This window comes from Homo sapiens, chromosome 5 (genome assembly GCF_000001405.40).
Source record: "Homo sapiens chromosome 5, GRCh38.p14 Primary Assembly".
Classification (NCBI taxonomy): domain Eukaryota; kingdom Metazoa; phylum Chordata; class Mammalia; order Primates; family Hominidae; genus Homo; species Homo sapiens.
Genome location: NC_000005.10, coordinates 74,068,374 through 74,085,963, shown reverse-complemented (window position 1 = coordinate 74,085,963; position 17,590 = coordinate 74,068,374). Strand labels below are relative to the sequence as shown.

At 41.0% G+C, this 17,590-nt stretch overlaps 1 long non-coding RNA gene across 1 annotated transcript in view, besides 1 other annotated feature; it reads left to right on the top strand.

Annotated features, from left to right (window-relative positions):
- Positions 1-17,590, top strand: part of LINC02122 (long intergenic non-protein coding RNA 2122) — a 68,866-nt gene that overhangs the window by 17,165 nt on the left and 34,111 nt on the right. The window contains exon 2 of the long non-coding RNA NR_183289.1: positions 1,797-1,917. This is a non-coding gene — a long non-coding RNA (long intergenic non-protein coding RNA 2122). The remainder of the gene's footprint in view (positions 1-1,796; positions 1,918-17,590) is intronic.
- Positions 15,612-16,112: an enhancer, noted in NCBI's record as "H3K27ac hESC enhancer chr5:73365677-73366177 (GRCh37/hg19 assembly coordinates)". NCBI's record gives its function as "activates a minimal SCP1, AML or CMV promoter by ChIP-STARR-seq in primed H9 embryonic stem cells {active_cell/tissue: H9 hESC(primed)}" and the evidence as "EXISTENCE:reporter gene assay evidence [ECO:0000049][PMID:30033119]".

The window sequence follows — 17,590 nt, the reverse complement described above, 5'->3', positions numbered from 1 at the left end:
ATTGACACAGACCAAAATATTGAAGGAGCACTTAACAGAGCCCTTCCTGGACAAGTGGGAACAAGAGGTGGTGGAATTGGAGTAAACTACTGTTTATGTACCCTTAGGCTTGGAAGGACTGGGGAGATCTGAGTTACACAGGTAGCTCCAAGCTCCTGCCTCTAGTGCCCTATTCCATTCTGCGCTCTCCCTTGGGAAAGAGCTCTCACCCAAGCTGACTCTATTTATCAGAATCACACACACACTCAAAGCTTATGAATATACAGATTATAAATGGATTCAAACCAAAAGCTCTTTGAGGGCATTGTGTTAACAGTGCCCTTAACAATGGGAAAAGATCATATCTGCGTAGAGATGTTGTGTTTAAACCCACTGTTACACACATCTCATTTGGTCTACATAACAAGTCAGTGAGGTAAGCATGGAGTGTGAAAGCCTGAAGTAAAACCAAATGTAAGTACAGCCAGGTAGTTGAAAATCCCTTTGTTTGTGGGTCTCAAGCTCCCACTAACAACTACCAGCTTCTTAGCAGAGCCAGGTCTCACTCCTCCTGTGAGCCAGACTGACGTGGTGATGTGAGATCTTATCAGTTCTGAAAGGGAAAGAAGTTAAATTCTCGTGGCCTTCTGGAGAGGATCAAGTGTTTTGCCTTCTACCTAGAGAGTCGATTCTTCTTGACAAGGGGATGAACTCATGAGCTCATGTAAGGAACCAGTCCTTACAGACTCGGTGTGTTTTGAATTGTGTTTGTGAGGTTTGTTTTAATATGTGTCTACCTGCCACGGTGACATATGCCAGTGCCTGTGTGCTGAGGCAGCCCTTTTAAGAACCTTCCCCCTGAAAAGGGCCTTAAAATGTGGCAGCTAGCCTTTGGCCTTACGTTGAAGACACACCTCACTGTATGCCTCTAGTCCTGCCTCCAATCAACTGTCGCCTAACTTTTTCATAGGGATGGCAGGGAAACCTCGGAAGAATATCATCCTTAACACTCTGCGCCTAAATCTTTCCTGAAGTGAGATGGGTTGAATTCCACAATATCCCTTCCTCACACATTAATTCTGTAATGCAATGGAGCTGAGTCTTCTCCATGAGACTTCCCAGGAAAGGTCCCTTTGAGCAAAAATTGAGATGCTGAAAACCTCAGGAAGCCTGGAGATTGACTTACCTATCTGTTGTAGTCACCAGAATTTCTCCTCCTACTGCAACCACATTTATTAAATGCCTTTCAGTGACAATGGGCTATGATAGGGACCCATTTTGTGGTTTTGGAGCTCTAGTTGTGACTTCCATTCACAGGCTTGGCTGCATCTCTCATCCATCTCATCCATTTACTCAGTACCCATTTCTTTTTTTGAGACAGTCTTGCTCTGTCACCCAGGCTGGAGTGCAATGGCGTGGTCTTGGCTCACTGCAACCTCCAACTCCCGGGTTCAAGCAATTCTCCTGCCTCAGCCTCCCGAGTAGCTGGGATTAGAGGTGGCTGCCACCAGCTAATTTTTTGTATTTTTAGTAGAGACGGGGTTTTGCCATCTTGGCCAGGTTCGTCTCGAACTCCTGACCTCAGGTGATCCACCCACCTTGGGCTCCCAAAGTGCTAGGATTACAGGCATGAACACCCGGCCTCAGTACCCATTTCTTTGAGTAACTGTGTCTCATGCACCAACTACTACTAACTAAATACTAATATTTAATGTGTGTCAAATGGCAGCTACTGTGCTAAACATCTTACATACGACATCTCCAACCCTTCTCAACAACCTACAAGGCAGTTACTATTAATATCCCCCGTTTTACAGGTGAGAAAACAGGCTGAGAGAAGTTGGAAGAAACACAGGAGCAGGGATCCCACATTAGACAGTCTGATTCCAGAGATCAGGACCTTGGCTGCAACACTATATGGGCTCTGGGAAATCCAAGGTTAGTAAAACATGGTCCCTACTCTCATGAACTCATGATTTAGAGGAGGTAGAATTGTAAAATAAGCATAATGAAAAATAAATGTTATCCTAAAGGAATGTGCCCTTAATACAGCATGTGAGGCAGGATCTGCCTACCTGGCTGGGAGGGATGAAAATCAGGGAGATGACTGGTGATCAGGGGAAACTGACTTTCCAAGCTGAGACACAAACTTCAGTTCCTCTCATTCTTTCTCTAATAAAGACATAACAGACAATAACTTAGGCTTTAACAGACTCACATCCTTTGTAGCACAAGTGAACCCTCATTGGCAAGACAGCCATGAGCCACTCCCAAGAACTTGGAAATGAAGAATTTGTAAGATCTTGCCCCTGGTGAGAGAAAGGATCAGATATAAGAATTCAAATGGAAATACACAATGTCCACATGACTCAGATCTTGCCCTGCAAGGCAGTCAATTTGAAAATGTTAATGTAGATACACAAGGGACACTCAGGCCGGGAGAAGGATAGCTGTCCGCCATGCTTGATGATCTCAGATCGAAGGCTAGTGCTGCCCCATTTAGCACTGCTTGGGAGAGAAGATGTCCTTTGAAGGCCAAGCTAGAATCCCAATGTGTTTACACACATCTGGCTGCCAATTCCTGAGGATGACATTAAACATTCCCATTGTAGAATAAACTCCCCTATTTCTGATCCCATAACTTTGCTTCCCTGGCCCTTGTCTATAAGGAAAGAGTGCTTTGGCCAGCCAATCTGTATGCAGGCTTGGGCTTGACAATGATATTTCTAAGTGGAAAATAATAAATTAGCCTTCTAGCTATATACATCAGCTATGTGAGAAACCCAAGGCCCAGAGAGGTACTACAAATTCTCAAGAATTCATTTTGTAACCCTTCTTAAGCTATCATTATCAAAGTAAGATATCACCACAGCCAGCTCCCCCATTCCACCCTTCCACTAGACTGCACAGAGCACCTATCTGTATAAACAATTTGATTTTAACATATTTTTAAGCATTCATAGGTTCATGTGATATGCTGTGATTTATTAATGGAGATTTGGAAAAAAGTAGAAAAGAGGCCCTTACGCATTTGCTTATCATTCAATAAGTGCAGGTGAAGATTCTTGAGAGTATCCAGATACCATCTCATCCTGCTCAAGTCCAGGAACTAAACTATCTTTTTATGTTCTTTATTGTCAAATGCACTGTTTCTGGCTAATTTCATGTCTGCCACCACAAGAAAGAGGTAGCACTGCTGTTATTACTGACAGTGCTGTGACTTTGGAACCTGTTTGTATTGAAACAATGTAGATCTGCTTGCCTCTGCAGTTCCCTAGAGGTGTTGATTTAATATCGGTTACCTCTTTCTCCATGACACTGCATCATTCATCAAGCAGTTTGTAAATACTGGCTTTTGGCGACACTCTCAAATGTTGTTACTGGGCATCATTAATGATGATCACAAATGCAAGTCTTACCCAGAGTATGCAGAAAAATGTGAACGACAGTTCATTTTCTGGTCATGTTAATTTTGCCATTTGGAATTTTGTAGCATGAATGTAGAACAGTACATCTCCCAAGAATAGCTTTTCTTAAACTCTTTAGGCCATATGACATTTCTATATAGACTGTACTCTTGCCTTCCACATGCCTCCAGCAGTAGTGAAGTTCAGTAAAGGGCCCTGGGAAGCTAGAATACTGGTCTATTCAAACAAAGTATGTCTATTTATCTGGCAGGAATTAAGACCCATCAGGGAGGGCATGCAGTCAACACATCTTTCTGACTCAAAAGAGGATATTAATTGGAAAGCTCCGTTAGCATCATGGAGCAAAGGCCCTACAGGCCCTATAGAAACAGGAGTAACCATGCCTAGAGGACTCCCTGACATGTGGCACAGAGCCTGTGGTACAGTGGGATGACTGTCTGGGATGCCAGCAGGAAACTTGCTGCTACCCTTGTCACCTTTTAGACTATGCAGATATCCTATTTCTCATTAAAACTTTAATTCTCCAGTTTTAGTATCCACTGATAGTTTCATAAATCTATCATTTTTTTCTCTATTAATTGGCATTCAAGTTAAAGAAGGGCTTTTCCTTCTTACCAATTTGTTTATCTGCTTATATCAGTATGGTATGGAATCGAGAGTTTTATTTTATTCACCTGGTTAGAGTATACTATGATCACTTATTTTGAGCTCAAATTGCCCCAGATTTAAGAAACAAGGATTTTTCATAAAATGTCTGGCTCTAAGAAGCTGTGTGACCTGGAGCAGGTCATTTTGCTTTTTGAATCCCATTTTCTCATTTTGCATAATGAGAGAGCTGCACTAGAAAACCTTTTACTTTCTTTTTCTATGTGTAGGTCTAAAGAACCAAGATTCAACATTTTTATCTCTCTTCATTTTCTTAAAGGCCTTTTACAACTTGGTTTTGTTTTGCATTTTTTTACTTGCATTTAAAAAATCATTTAAATAGGCCATAATAGTGGTTAATTAGTCTAAAGCAACACATAATTAGTTCATTTATTTCGTAACATGGGGAGAAGGAGGCGTAAAGCATGGCCTTTTGTATCAAAAAGGATGGAATAACTTGAAGACCCCTGACCCTCAGCAGGTAATATTTGCTGCTCCCTCTGACAACAGCCCTTCTCAGTTGGGCCATTGTTCTGAAAACTAATGGCCAGAGAGGAAGCAATTCTCACCCACCTCATAATCTTCCCTCACTTCCCCCATCGTTCATTTCCTTACATAATGAGATGCCCAACACCTAAAATGCGGAGATTCTCTCTTGCCTTTACATGCCTTTATGGCCTGGACAGATTTGATTGTATTCATGAGAATGGGCAAGGTGATTGGTGATTTGCAGAGGAAGAAATTCCATGTGAGTTCTATTTTGTGTTTCCCACTTACTATTACGGGCAAGCACAACTACATAGTTAGGGTGTTATGTATGTTGTGTGTGTGTGCAAACATCCTCAAACACAGGTTCTGGAAGAAACATCATTTAATAACTCAAATTTATCATTTCTGCTTATTTAAAAATTTTAGATACTCTGGAATGTCCATTGCTATTTAATTGAGCTATAAGTTTATTCTTTCTTTTGCAATGCTGATGAAACTGTTAGGAACATTCTGAAATTAGAACCAAGGCCAAGGGAACAAAAGTAACAAAAATGAGGTGTTTTAACAGTGTTTCCTTTGGTCACTTACTAACATGTATTTCTGGCAGTTTTGATTCTCATTATTCTAACTCAAAGCCAGGCCAATAATGGAGCAGACCAAATGGAAAGGGTTTGTTCTTTTTGTTCTAAATATTTCTATCAGCTTCCTAGTGCAATATTAATCTCATTGTCAAAATAGGTTTCACCTCATCTTTCCAAAGGCTACAATTTAGGCAAGGAAGAGATTATTAATATACCCTTAACAGTATTTCCAGGCAAAAATAAGCCCACTACAAATTTTCCTTCAACCAGATTCCCTACTGTTTAAAAATACTGACTTTTTATGTTTGCTAACATCTCTAGTCATCTTTTTCTTTGAGGAATTCCACAGAGAAAGTCTATGTTGACCTAAATATCAGTTCTTCAGAGTTTAGACTGACCCCACTACAAAGGAGAAACCAAAACCATATCTTAAAAAAGGTTAAGAGAGGAAACAGTTTCTAGTCTATTCACTCAGCATATTTGTGCAGCAGATCTGGTTGTGCCAGCAATCTGCAATCGACTTTCTGAATGGAGAAGTTTCTAGAGTGTAATGACCCTGAGGAAATGAGTTATTCTTGTCACCAATCGGAGACAGTTGCCATTCATACTAGAGAAGAAAGCAGATCTACTGCAGGGCATGAAATTAAAATTTCCAGGTAGCAGCAAGTAATTGATACCGTGGGGTGACCTTTGCCCACGGCAGCCAATTTCAATCTGTAGAGAACAGCAATAGGACCCACTACCCCAGTGACCCCTACAAGCTGAGCCCGAAAAACAACACACTTGAGTAACTTCAATGTCTTCTCATAAATGCTTCCCATTTTCCTTAGCTTTGTTCTGTCGGGCTTTGTTGTAATTCAAATGTCCCTGATGGTCTCATACATTTTTTATGAAATTATTAATTTATCCACCTGAGACACTAAGTGAGAATCAGATTTATCAGCTTACTCTGTAGTTCAGGGTTTGGGTTTTTTGTTTTTAGACACGCAACATTGCTTTTTCTGGGTTTTCAGATCCTACCTTTTAAACATGTTATCATCAGAATAATTTTTGGAAAATAGAAAAAGCCCAAATAAGCCACATCAGTCTTGTTTTGTTTTTTGTTTTTTTTTTCCCCCTGTACTGACTACTCATTTATATATTCAAAATTAATTGGTTTCTTCTGGAGTGTGGCAGAGCATCTATCACCAAGAATGAATTTTAGGCTGAGTACTGAATTTATTTAAATAACAGGTTAGAATGGGAAAGGCAACCAACAGAAAATAAATCATGTGCCTGTCTTTCGGAATTGCTGAAAAATGAAATCATTCTAGAAATTCACTCCTTAACCTATCGCTAGTCTTGAAATTCTTGACGTTGGGTATGCAATAACTTCTAAATTAGGATTATTTGGCTCAAAGCTCCAGACCTTTCTAAATGCCTTAGGTAAGAACAATGTACTGAAAGTCCTAATGTAACTATTTGGGGCATAAATTATATAACAGCAAAGAGCAGACCAAAAGATCACAGCTCCTTGAGCCAATTTAGATTTTAATCAGATTTTTCATTCCAACTTTAATTAAAGCATTTGACTTAGAAAAATGACTATTAGTAAAACTGACTGCCAGTAAAGCAAAAAAGAAAAATTAATTGGAAAAAAAATGTACCCTGACTGCTATGAAGATTCATAGCATATGTTATGAAAGAGAGTGGAAGAATGCTTTAATGAACTAGTATAACATATAGTATATTTCTCTTCCTAGACATACAGAAAATTATGTCATATTTTTCTCCTTAGATGCTGACGTAAGTGAAAATAACAGAAAATGCCTTTTTAAAAAATTTAAAATCTAACAATAACCTCTAAATTATAGGCTGTAGTTTGTCATTAACATCTTCTGCCAGGTTTGGTTAGGCTAATTTCTATTGCTATGAATCAGTCAACTAATATTTGTTGAATCTTTACTTGCCTGGGCACTAGGAAGATTAATGAAGTATCAAACATAGTCCTGCTCTTGGAGAGCTTAGTCTTATTGAAGAAAAAAATGGGAAAAGGCTAAGGCAGTCAGATCTCAAGGCAGAGAAACTGGGTGGTACATCCTTGCCATAAAAGTTGAGATAGGGGAGCATCTCCCTGGTTACATCAACTCCTCAAGCATCTATGAGGATGAGAGATTGAGAGATGGACAGGATTTGGACAGGTACAGAGGAGGTAAGAGTTGTTCCAATGGAGGGGACAGTTGGGTAGGCTTAGGCAGGGGATAAGGAGCCAAGCCTGACCAAAATAGAGAGTTTGTATGGGGTAGCAGAGCACAGGAGTTAGGCTGAACAGGAGCTTGTGCACCAGACAGAGGCACTGATGTCAGATACGATGTACCTAATATGTAAGTGTTATTGCTGTCTATGCTTTGTGCATTTACATTCTTTCTCTGCTGTACTGCCTCTTTCCTATAGGCCCTTGGGGTCTAGTGGTGAGAGGATGCAATTTTTAAAAAGAGCAGCCTGGTGGTTTTATGCAGGTTGCATTGTCTGAAGGAGACTGACAGCAGTGAGGCCATGGCCATGGTCACTGTCCTGGCCAGGGTGAGGAGGCCTATTTGGACTGGGGTAGATGCAACAATGAGGGATGCAAAAAGGAGAACCCAGATCACCTTCATTTAGCAAACAGTACTTGAAATCTTCTATGGGCTAGTTCTGGAGATCTAAAAAAAACACAATGAGTATGACTCGATGAGGAAGCGGCAACTCATGGTCAGGTTGGCTCCAACCAACAAAAACACAATGCCAGGACTCTAGGAAGCACAGATGTAGGCTCTGTGATGCCAGGCTTGAGATGGCACAGACTCCCATGGGAGGCATGGGCAGATGTGGTAAGCAAGCCTTCACTCAGTAGATTACATTTACCTGGGCTTTGAAGGATAAGTCTAATTTTGCCAGACAGAGAAGAAAGAAAACACAAAAGCAGGGGATGGAAATGAATTAAACTCAAGGCAGCAAAGACAGAAATTTAAGATTTGAATTAAAGGACCACTACTGTCTTCTACATCCCATTTCTGGGATTTTCTAAGGGAAGTGGGGAGGAGAAGGGATTACATCAGGGGTATCCAATCTCTTGCCTTTCCTGAGCCATATTGAAAGAATTGTCTTGGGCCACACATAAAATACACTAATAATAGCTAATGAGCTAAAAAACAAAAGCAAACAAAAAAAACTCCTAATGTTTTAAGAAAGTTTATGAATTTGTGTTGGGCCACATTCAAAGCTGTCCTGGGCCATGGGCCATATGTTGGACAAGCTTGTATTACATACTTCAGCAAACAAAAACATCTATAGAGATAAAAAGAACTATGACTTGGAATTGTCTAGGAAATTTCAGGATATATTTTAACAGGGATTCCCTGGGGGAAGGAGAGGGACAAGCCTAAGCAAAAGTTGAGTGCTTTGTAGGAAGTATTATCACAGGAAAGCAAGAGTAAGAGTGTGTTAGTCTTTTTTCACACTGCTATAAAGAACTGCCTGAGACTGGGTAATTGACAAAGAAAAGAGGTTTAATTGACTCAAAAGAGATTTAACTGACTCACAGTTCTGTGTGGCTGGGGAGGCCTCAGGAAACTTACAATCATGGTGGAAGAGGAAGCAGGGCTGTCTTACGTGGCAACAGGAGAGAGAGTGAGCAAAGGGAGAAGAGCCCCTTATAAAACCATCAGCTGTTATGAGAACTCACTCCCTATCACAAGAACAGCATGGGGGAAACTGCTCCTATGATCCAACCACCTCCCACCAGGTCCCTCCCTCAATACCTGGGGATTACAATTCAAGAAAAGATTTGGGTGGGGACACAAAGTGTGACCATATCAGAGAGGAAGGGAAGTAAAGAATGGAAACAAGAAGCCAATGCAAGGATGTGTGAGTGATGGCTTTGGCCACTGTGTCACAATAAGGCACAAAGTGACAAAGCCAGTTGTTTGATAGGTGCAGGATGTCTCTGGACAAGCTTGTATGGAAAACCATACCTCAGAACAATGCATCAGAGGGACAAATGGAGAGAAAGCCTGCCGATTCCCTCTTGTCTCCTCATTCCCATTTACCAAAATGAACCCCATGGAAGTTAATCCTCTTGTAGTTCTGGGTTGGTCACCTGGCCCCTTTTGGCAGCAGACCTCTGGGGGAAGCAGACCCTGTACCATAAGAAGTGGCCTTTTATGAGATCAGAAGTGAGGGAAGAGCTGAAGACAACACAGGGGGAACCATGAGGTTCTACATAGAATCCTTCCTCTCAGCTGCTGGCCCAGGGGACAGGTGAAGCCAGGAGAATCTGAGGCAGCCCATAGGATGCATCCTACATGTGATAGATTATTACCACAAGTATATCTCATGATAATTGTGGTCAATCCTTTCTTCTCAAGAAATTTCCAGACCCATTGTTTCTTTGATTTCTCCATTCTGTGTCCTTATTGTGCCTAATTCTTAAGCTGTTCTAACAAAGGCAACAAGAGGCAAGAAAGAGAAAACTCATGTTGGTGAATGCTGTCACTTAGAAGTTCACTGGCAAAACTGGTTAAGCAAGATAAAAGTGAATAAGGACAGTTGGCATTAAATGGAAGGTTGGGGGAGAAGTAAGTTCCTGATGTTTGCTTAAGCTTGGTTTTCAGAAAAATCTTTTTTTCTTTTAATGCAGGAGGTGGGGGGATTGTGCTGAGTGTGTCCATTTCCCTGAAACTTGATCCTCTCTCAGAAGGGCAGGAAGAGGGGGCAAGATTGACTAAGAAGAAACACATCAGCAGTGTGAAATACAAATGTTAAATCTATGTCATGGGGAAATCGTGCACGAGGCAGCCCTAAGATGTCTAGGGCTGAAATAACAACTATTTCTATCACAGCCTGATCTGACAAATTTATAAATCTTAAAACAACTTTAGGAGCAACACTTTGAAACAAAAGAGATGAAAACAAAACAAAACAATGCTTTGAGTTTATATACATAAATGGTCTAGGTAATAACTGGCCCCGAAAAGCGATCACAAGCCTTCCCTGGAAGTATTGCTCTTAAACTTGGAAATTATGCTATTATCAGCAGTTGACTGGAAGCTTCAGGTCCATCTGAACTGTGACTCTGCTGGTCGGCTCCTAATTAACCTCTGTCCTGCTGACTGTATAATTCAGCAGGGGCCTGCAGATGCTCCGCTTTTAAGTTAACTGAGGCCGTCTGCTCATTCAAGCTAATCCTGATAGTGCCTTAACAAGAAGGAAAAGGAAAAGATTAGATGTACCTGAAGCTACAAATGAGAAAGCTGTGTGGGTGGAAGAAGAGGAACCATTATTTTCCCCTTTTGTCTGTTTGAGGCCCCTATTTTTTAAGCTGTCCAGTGTAACTAATTAGGAGAAAGAATTCTGAATACTCCTTCTTATGCTCGTAGTCAAACAACCAATTTGATTAATTTTTTTATCTAAACAGATTTGGTATGTAAAATTCTTACTTGACATTTATACCTTTTTTCAAAATCCAATCATTTTCATACCACCTTTACACTTCTTGATATGTCTCTGGATCACTTTTAAATGGACTTACTTTGAAGAAAGAAAATAGCTACTTTAGCCTTGTTGCAGCAACAGTATTGTGGAATTACAATTTTAATGGGCTTTGTATGTGTGTGTATGAGTTTGTGCATGTCATCTTTCAAATTTGCAATCTCTACTCTTTTAGATGTTTGGAGAATAATAAAGTATGGATGTGACACTTTTCAATTAGAGCACTGAAACCATAAAATGGAACCACAGTGTCACATTCTACACTCCTGCACATATACAGGACTCTAAACCAGTTGGTTGGTTTGTTTTTAAAAGGGAAACCATGAAATTATTGCCACCTGTCATGGATTTTTAACGTTTCTATATGCTAAGAAGCACTCTCTATATAAATCTATGTATATATTTTATAAGTTCTATTCTTCTAGTAAACCTATAAATAAGCAATAAAAAAGTCCTGTACTACATAAAATCATCCCATGTTTTACAGTTTGTGACAGAGGATTCAACTGGATTTTTTGTTTGGCTAATTTTGAGGGAGTAGAGGAGGGCTCTTTGATGTGTGGCCTCAGGCCAATGGGTTTATGTCACTGAATTCCCTGCCTTACTACTCCTCATTCCTTGGAGATCCAATTGAGACGGGAGAGTTCCCTTGAACCCCTCACAGGACTTGCAGCAGGGGTGTGGCTCATTTACCCAGCCACCCTTCTCTCAAACCCCTTGTGGGAAGGGGAGGATGCAAGTGAGTGGGTGCAGGAGCTGGGGCAAGTGCTTTTAGGCTCTGGCCCCATGGCAGCCTCTAGGGGTATGTTACAATTAATGTTCCTTTAGCAGTTACTGTCCACAGAGAGCTAAGTGTTAACCAGCTCAATGAAGAGTCAGGGTGACAGCCGTTTATACCCTGCCCTCTTGGTACCCAGGTTCTTGTCCAGCATTCAGGAAGAATCAGGTCACATGGACTTGAAGGATACGAAGATTTTGAGTGATGGAGGTGTGGCTCTCGGCAGGATAGGGATTTGGAAAGAAGATGGAGTGGAAAGATAATCTTCCCCTGGAGTTCAGCTGTCCCCAGCCGAATTCCTCTCCAACTGTCCCCAGCCAAATTCCTCTTGACATTCAGACACGTCTTCTCTCCTTCTCTGCCACACCACACTGCTCCTTTGCCAGTGGAGTTTGGGGTTTTTATGGGTACAGGATCGCGGTGTGGCAGACTAGGGTGGTTTTGGAAAAAGCAACTTTTGGGTGGGAAAACAGGGATAACTGTTCTAATTTAGTGCCACAGTTTCCAGGCTTAAGGGTGGGTCTTTGCCAGGGAACTGCCCTCTTCTACCCAGGTATTTCCCTGCCTCCTGTCTGTATCGGAATCACTGACCATGGCACATTGGGGATGTTGTGCAGATAAATCAGAACGACCTGGGTAGACATGGCCCAGCCAAAACTCACATTTCCTTCCACTTGTCTCTGTTGGGAAGTTTGCCGCATTTCACTCTCCTGAGAGACTGATCTCTAGAAAATCTCGATTCATATCAGGTAGACAAACAACAAAGTTCATGAAAATAAGCTATGCTTTAGACTAAGAGCAAGAAAATAAAATGAGTTCCACTTTGAGGATGGTGGAGTGAGAAGCTCCGTGGAACCATACCCTAGCAAAACAACCTGAACTAGTGAAAACTATTTTTAAAGCAACCATTTAAACTCTCTGGAAATTGTCGTCAGGTCACACAGCAAATTAAGAAACATTAAACAAGAGTCTGCGGCACTTCAGCCACAAGTCCACTCTCTAAGCTCCACTCTGGGTGGGTGTAGCCAAGAAGAAACAGCTCCCTTCTCCCTCAGCTCCAACTCAAGGGATACAGTATTTCACCAAGAGGCAGTAGCCACCAGCATTTCTTATCTCTTTTAGCTCCAAGTTAGAGATTAAATTTCTGGTAAATACAGCCAAGAATTTGCTCTCTTCCTTCCCACAACCCCCACTCATAAGGCAGAGGTTCTGCTTCAGGCATGGCAATCCAAGGATACTGGAGCCCTAATTTCTCTGGCTTCAGCTTGCTCATAGGATGGAGATTCCATGCTGGGAAGGGCAAGCTAAGAAGACTAGAGGCCACTGCCCCTGCCCCTGACCCACACTCTGCTTATAAGGCAGGGGTATCACCCTCATCCTATTTCTGGAGCAGTAGCTCAGAGAGTTCAGAGAGCTCAGAGATTTTACCCAAGAGATAAGGGAGACCACAAAAACAGACACCTCTGAAGTTCTCCCCAAAGAAACTGAGTTTATTTGAAGCAGAGTGAGAAGTTCAAGCCTAAGGATTGAACTTGGGAAAACAATCGATATTTTGGTGGCAAGCAATTAAAAACCAGTTGGTAGCTCTATGAGAGCAGCCAACTAAACTGTAGGCCTAAGTTTACCAGAGAGAAGAAGGGAAAGAGGTAGTTAAGCAAAGCCCTCCTAGGGTTAGAACAAACCTTAAAACTGTCCCAAGGGGACTAGATATACTAATAATAGGATCAGACTGTGGGGCAATTTATGTCCCAGGCATGCTCAAAAACAATAGTGCAGTTAGCCAGCAACTAGAAGAAACTGTCAGCTGAGTGGGATACCAAATAAAACAGATATTTTCACAGATCAGGAAAAAAGACAGAGCCCTGCTTAACCTACTGTCATCCTAGGCTTACCCTATGTGTGACCAAGTCTCTACCCTCTAAGAAATAACATTATAAGCTTCACATTTAGCGGGAAATAGATTTCACTAAAATGGACCAGCCAAAGAAATAAGCAGACAACATCAAAAACAAGCCCCAAAGAAGGGAAGGAGATTAGTATCCAAAGTTGCTACAGTATATTACCTAAAATGTCCAATTTTCATCAAAAATTTGAGACATGGAGAAAAAAAAGTATGAACCATACACAGGGAGCAAAGCAAGCAACAGAAACTGCCTGTGAGAGGGAGATGTTGAATTTAACAGAAGAAAGGCTTCAATACACTACAGGAAACCATGCTTTTAAAAGTAAATGTAGGTATGACAATGTCTCATCAAATAGAGAATATTAATAAAGAGATAACTTTAAAAGTATAAATTATGGAAAATTCTTTTGTAAGGGTAATTTGTCTTTTCTGCCCCACTTATTCAGTCATTTATATCAGTATGGACTCGTGGATATTTAATACTTTGTATTATGATCCAACACTGCTTTATTTTATTGCTCTAATTTTTCCAGCTTTGGCCTTTGGGAGCTGTTTCAGTTGGCTCCTGGATCCCTGTGATATGCCTCTGTGAATGTAGGGTTTAGTAAGTTTTGTTGTTGTTTGTTTGTTTTATTAAGCACTTCTGTTCTTTCTGGTACTACAAGATGCCCCAGGCTCAATCTCACATATTTCCTGCCCCAGTCCTAAAATCACCCATTTTTCTAAGGACCCCTGGATCTTTTGACTGGAGAATGTTCTTAGAAAGTATGATCACAGCACTTGCTTTGCTCTGGCGTTTCTTTTTAAAGTAATGAAAATGTTCTAAAATTGATTGTGGGGATGGTCACACAACTCTGAATATGCTAAAAAGCACTGAATTGTACACTTTAAGTGGGAAAATTGTATGGCATGTGAATCTCAACAATGTTCTTATATAAAGGGAAAAAAGAATTAGTCTGAGAGCATACCCTATTTCACAAAGCAAAGGAAAAATATATGGACAAAAACTGTACATAATGATAAATCTTTGCCAGTTAGAACCAAGCATGTGGCCCCAAGGTGACCATCAGGAATACATTCGTATTTGGAATATCATCTATATACCAGGAGTTACTGCCTACAAATAAGAAAGTCTTAAAAACTTTTTAGAGAAAGTTAGGGCAGGATGTGGTATCTCGCACCTGTAATCCCAGTGCTTTGGGAGGCCAAGGCCGGGGGATCACTTGAGGCCTGGAATTCAAGACCAGCCTGGGCAAACATAATGAGATCCCCATCTCTACAAAAAGTTAATATAAGCCAGGCGTGGTGTCACATGGCTGTAGTCCCAGCTACTCAAGAGGCTGAGGTGAGAGGATTGCTTGAGCCCAGGAGTCAGATGCTGCAGTGAGCTATGATCGTGTCACGGCACTCCAGCCTGAGTGACAAAGCGAGACCCTGTCTTGGGGGGGCGGGGGGGGGAGAAAAAAACAATTAGGCCGTCCCAAATAATTCAAATTATATATTTTCTTAGGGCGTTGGGGAATCTTATATGTGGCATTATTTAATTAGAGCTCTGAAACAATAGAATGGAAAGAACAATAGATCGAACACTCCTACATTCCTGGAAATACATGGGAGTCTAAACTAGCTTATTCATCTCTTATGGGAAACATTGCAGTGGTTTCTAGGCAGCTGCCATGAACTTTTAACGCTTTCTGGCTGGCAAGAAGCCCCCTCCACCTACTGTACTGAAACAAAGACCTAGGGCCATATTGTACTTCTAAAGCTGTTAGGAAACATGAGGCTAAACAGGTGTAAGTGTTGCTTGTTTTCTGAATGCACTCAGAAGCCCAGTGCTCCCCTGTGCCAAGGGTGGGAGACTATTTATTGGTATGGAAAAGTACAGAGGAAAGAAAAAGAGATGAGGATTCCGAATCAGGTAGTTGTGTAGCCACCTCTGGTATATATTATCACAGTTCTCAGAGAGATGCCCTACTGACCTCTATTCTTGTCCTCACTTTATAACTTGTTCAAGAGCCTATGCATATTCTTCACTAAACAAATATATGTATAGATATAAGCACAATTATTTTAAAGAATTAGCTAAGAACATATGCAAACACATACAAATGTGGTAAGAGACTATAATATAATGATTAAGGGTGTCTCCTTAGAATTAAACTTAGTAGGTCCAAAACCTGGCTCTTCATATACCAGCATGGGACCATGTACTTCCTACATCTGCGCCTTAGTTTCCTCATCTATAAATGGGGAAGAAAATAATGCCTACCTCTGGAATCATTATAACCATTAAATGAAATACTGAGTAAAGTGTTTGACACACAGCAAACATACAATGTTAGCATTATGTGTGTCTACTTATCCATTGGTGATAGAATCCACAAGATCCATTTCAATTGTACATGCTATGCCTAGAGAAAAACACTTCCAACTGAGATAATCTCCTAATTGCCTCTTAATATTTTCTCTACTTTAAAGAGTATTTTTAAAAAATATTTAGTTTATTTTGATTACAAAAGTAAGTCATACTCAAGCTGGGCATGGTGGCTTGCATCTCTAATCCCAGTGACTTGGGAGGCTGAGGCAGGAGCATGCCTTGAGGCCAGGAGTTTGAGACCAGCTTGGGCAACACAGCGAGACCTTGTTTCTGTAAAATTTTTTTTAAGTTAGCCAGCATGAGTGTACGCTTGTTGTCCCAGTTACTCAGGAGGCTTAGCTGAGGATCACTTAAGCCCAGGAGTTTGAGGCTGCAGTAAGCTAAGATTGCACCACTGCACTCCAGCCTGGGTGACAGAACCAGACCTTGTCTCAAAAATAATAGTAATAGTAAAGTCAATCATGCTCAGCAAGAATACTTAGAAATAAAAGAGTTGAGATGGCCGTGCATGGTGGCTCACGCTTGTAATCCCAGCACTTTTGGAGGCCCAGCCGGGCAGATCACGAGGTCAGGAGATTGAGACCATCCTGGCTAACACGGTTGAAACCCTGTCTCTACTAAAAGTACAAAAAATTATCCGAGCGTGGTGGCACACGCCTGTAGTCCCAGCTACACAGGAGGCTGAGGCAGGAGAATCGCATGAACCCAGGAGGCAGAGGTTACAGCAAGCAGAGATTGTGCCACTGCACTCCAGCCTGGGCAACAGAGTGAGACTCCATCTCAAAAAAGAAAAAAAATCAATAAAATAAATCAATAAATAAAGATTTAAGGAAAACTAAAAATTACTATTATTCCATCAGTCAGACATAAGTAATAAAAAATTCACATTTTATGTATTCCTTCCTATATTTTTTCTATACATTTTAACCTGCTTGGGATCGCACTATTTATACAGTTTGTATGTCTTTTTTATACTGAGGATTATGAAATTACTTACAAGCTTCTCATTGGATATGACATATTGACCACATTTGTTCATATCTTCTCCTTTCTAAAATCCATTTAAGATGAGAGTAAAGGAGTTTAAAACATATACAATTACAGGGACAAAGAATGAGAGAAAGACAAGAGCAAGTAAGACTCTGCAATAATTTTTTAGGAGCTCATGGAGAAGCAATGTTATGATTTTTCAGAGCAGAGGCCACAACCCCAAGGTCTGCAGTGATAGATAGGCCAAGAATGACTATTTCACCCTACAGAACTCAGGAAGGCCCAGGACTTGGTGGCAGCAGGTATTACTGAGGGGTGGAATGAGATGCAGAACCAAATGCAGGAGGATTGGTTCATGTCTTAACGTGGAACTAGCTGGATTCTCAGCCCCCTCCTCTCCCGCAGGAAACCTGAAGTTTAGTCTCTAAATAAATTGAACCAGAGAAAATCTGGACTCAGAGAAACCAAACACAGAAGGGGAGGAGGAGAAAGAAACCTGGACATAAATTCAGAAGAATTAAGTGAAATTTTAGGTATGAATTAGACAAACCCTCCCTAGCTCTGTTCCTTCTGCTTCGAAACGCTAACAACTAAATATATACTCCCCAGCCCCCTGCAAAAACAAATAAAAAATGTCCCTGGAGAAAAAAACTTCAGATACTGATATTTGAGGGTCCCCCAACAACAAAAAAAGCCATCTTGTTACCACGTAATCTCCAGTTAAGGAATGACATGTCTAGCATATACACACGGGGCTTTCAACAAAGTTTTTAGTAGTTAGCTCTTAAAAATGAACAGAAAACCAAAGGTAATCTAACCAGGGAAATCCTCTGTGGAAGACGCTGCTAATGTTCTCTCTTCCTGGACACTCCACTAGAGTACATTGTCCAACCTCCTACATCTAGGTGAGGC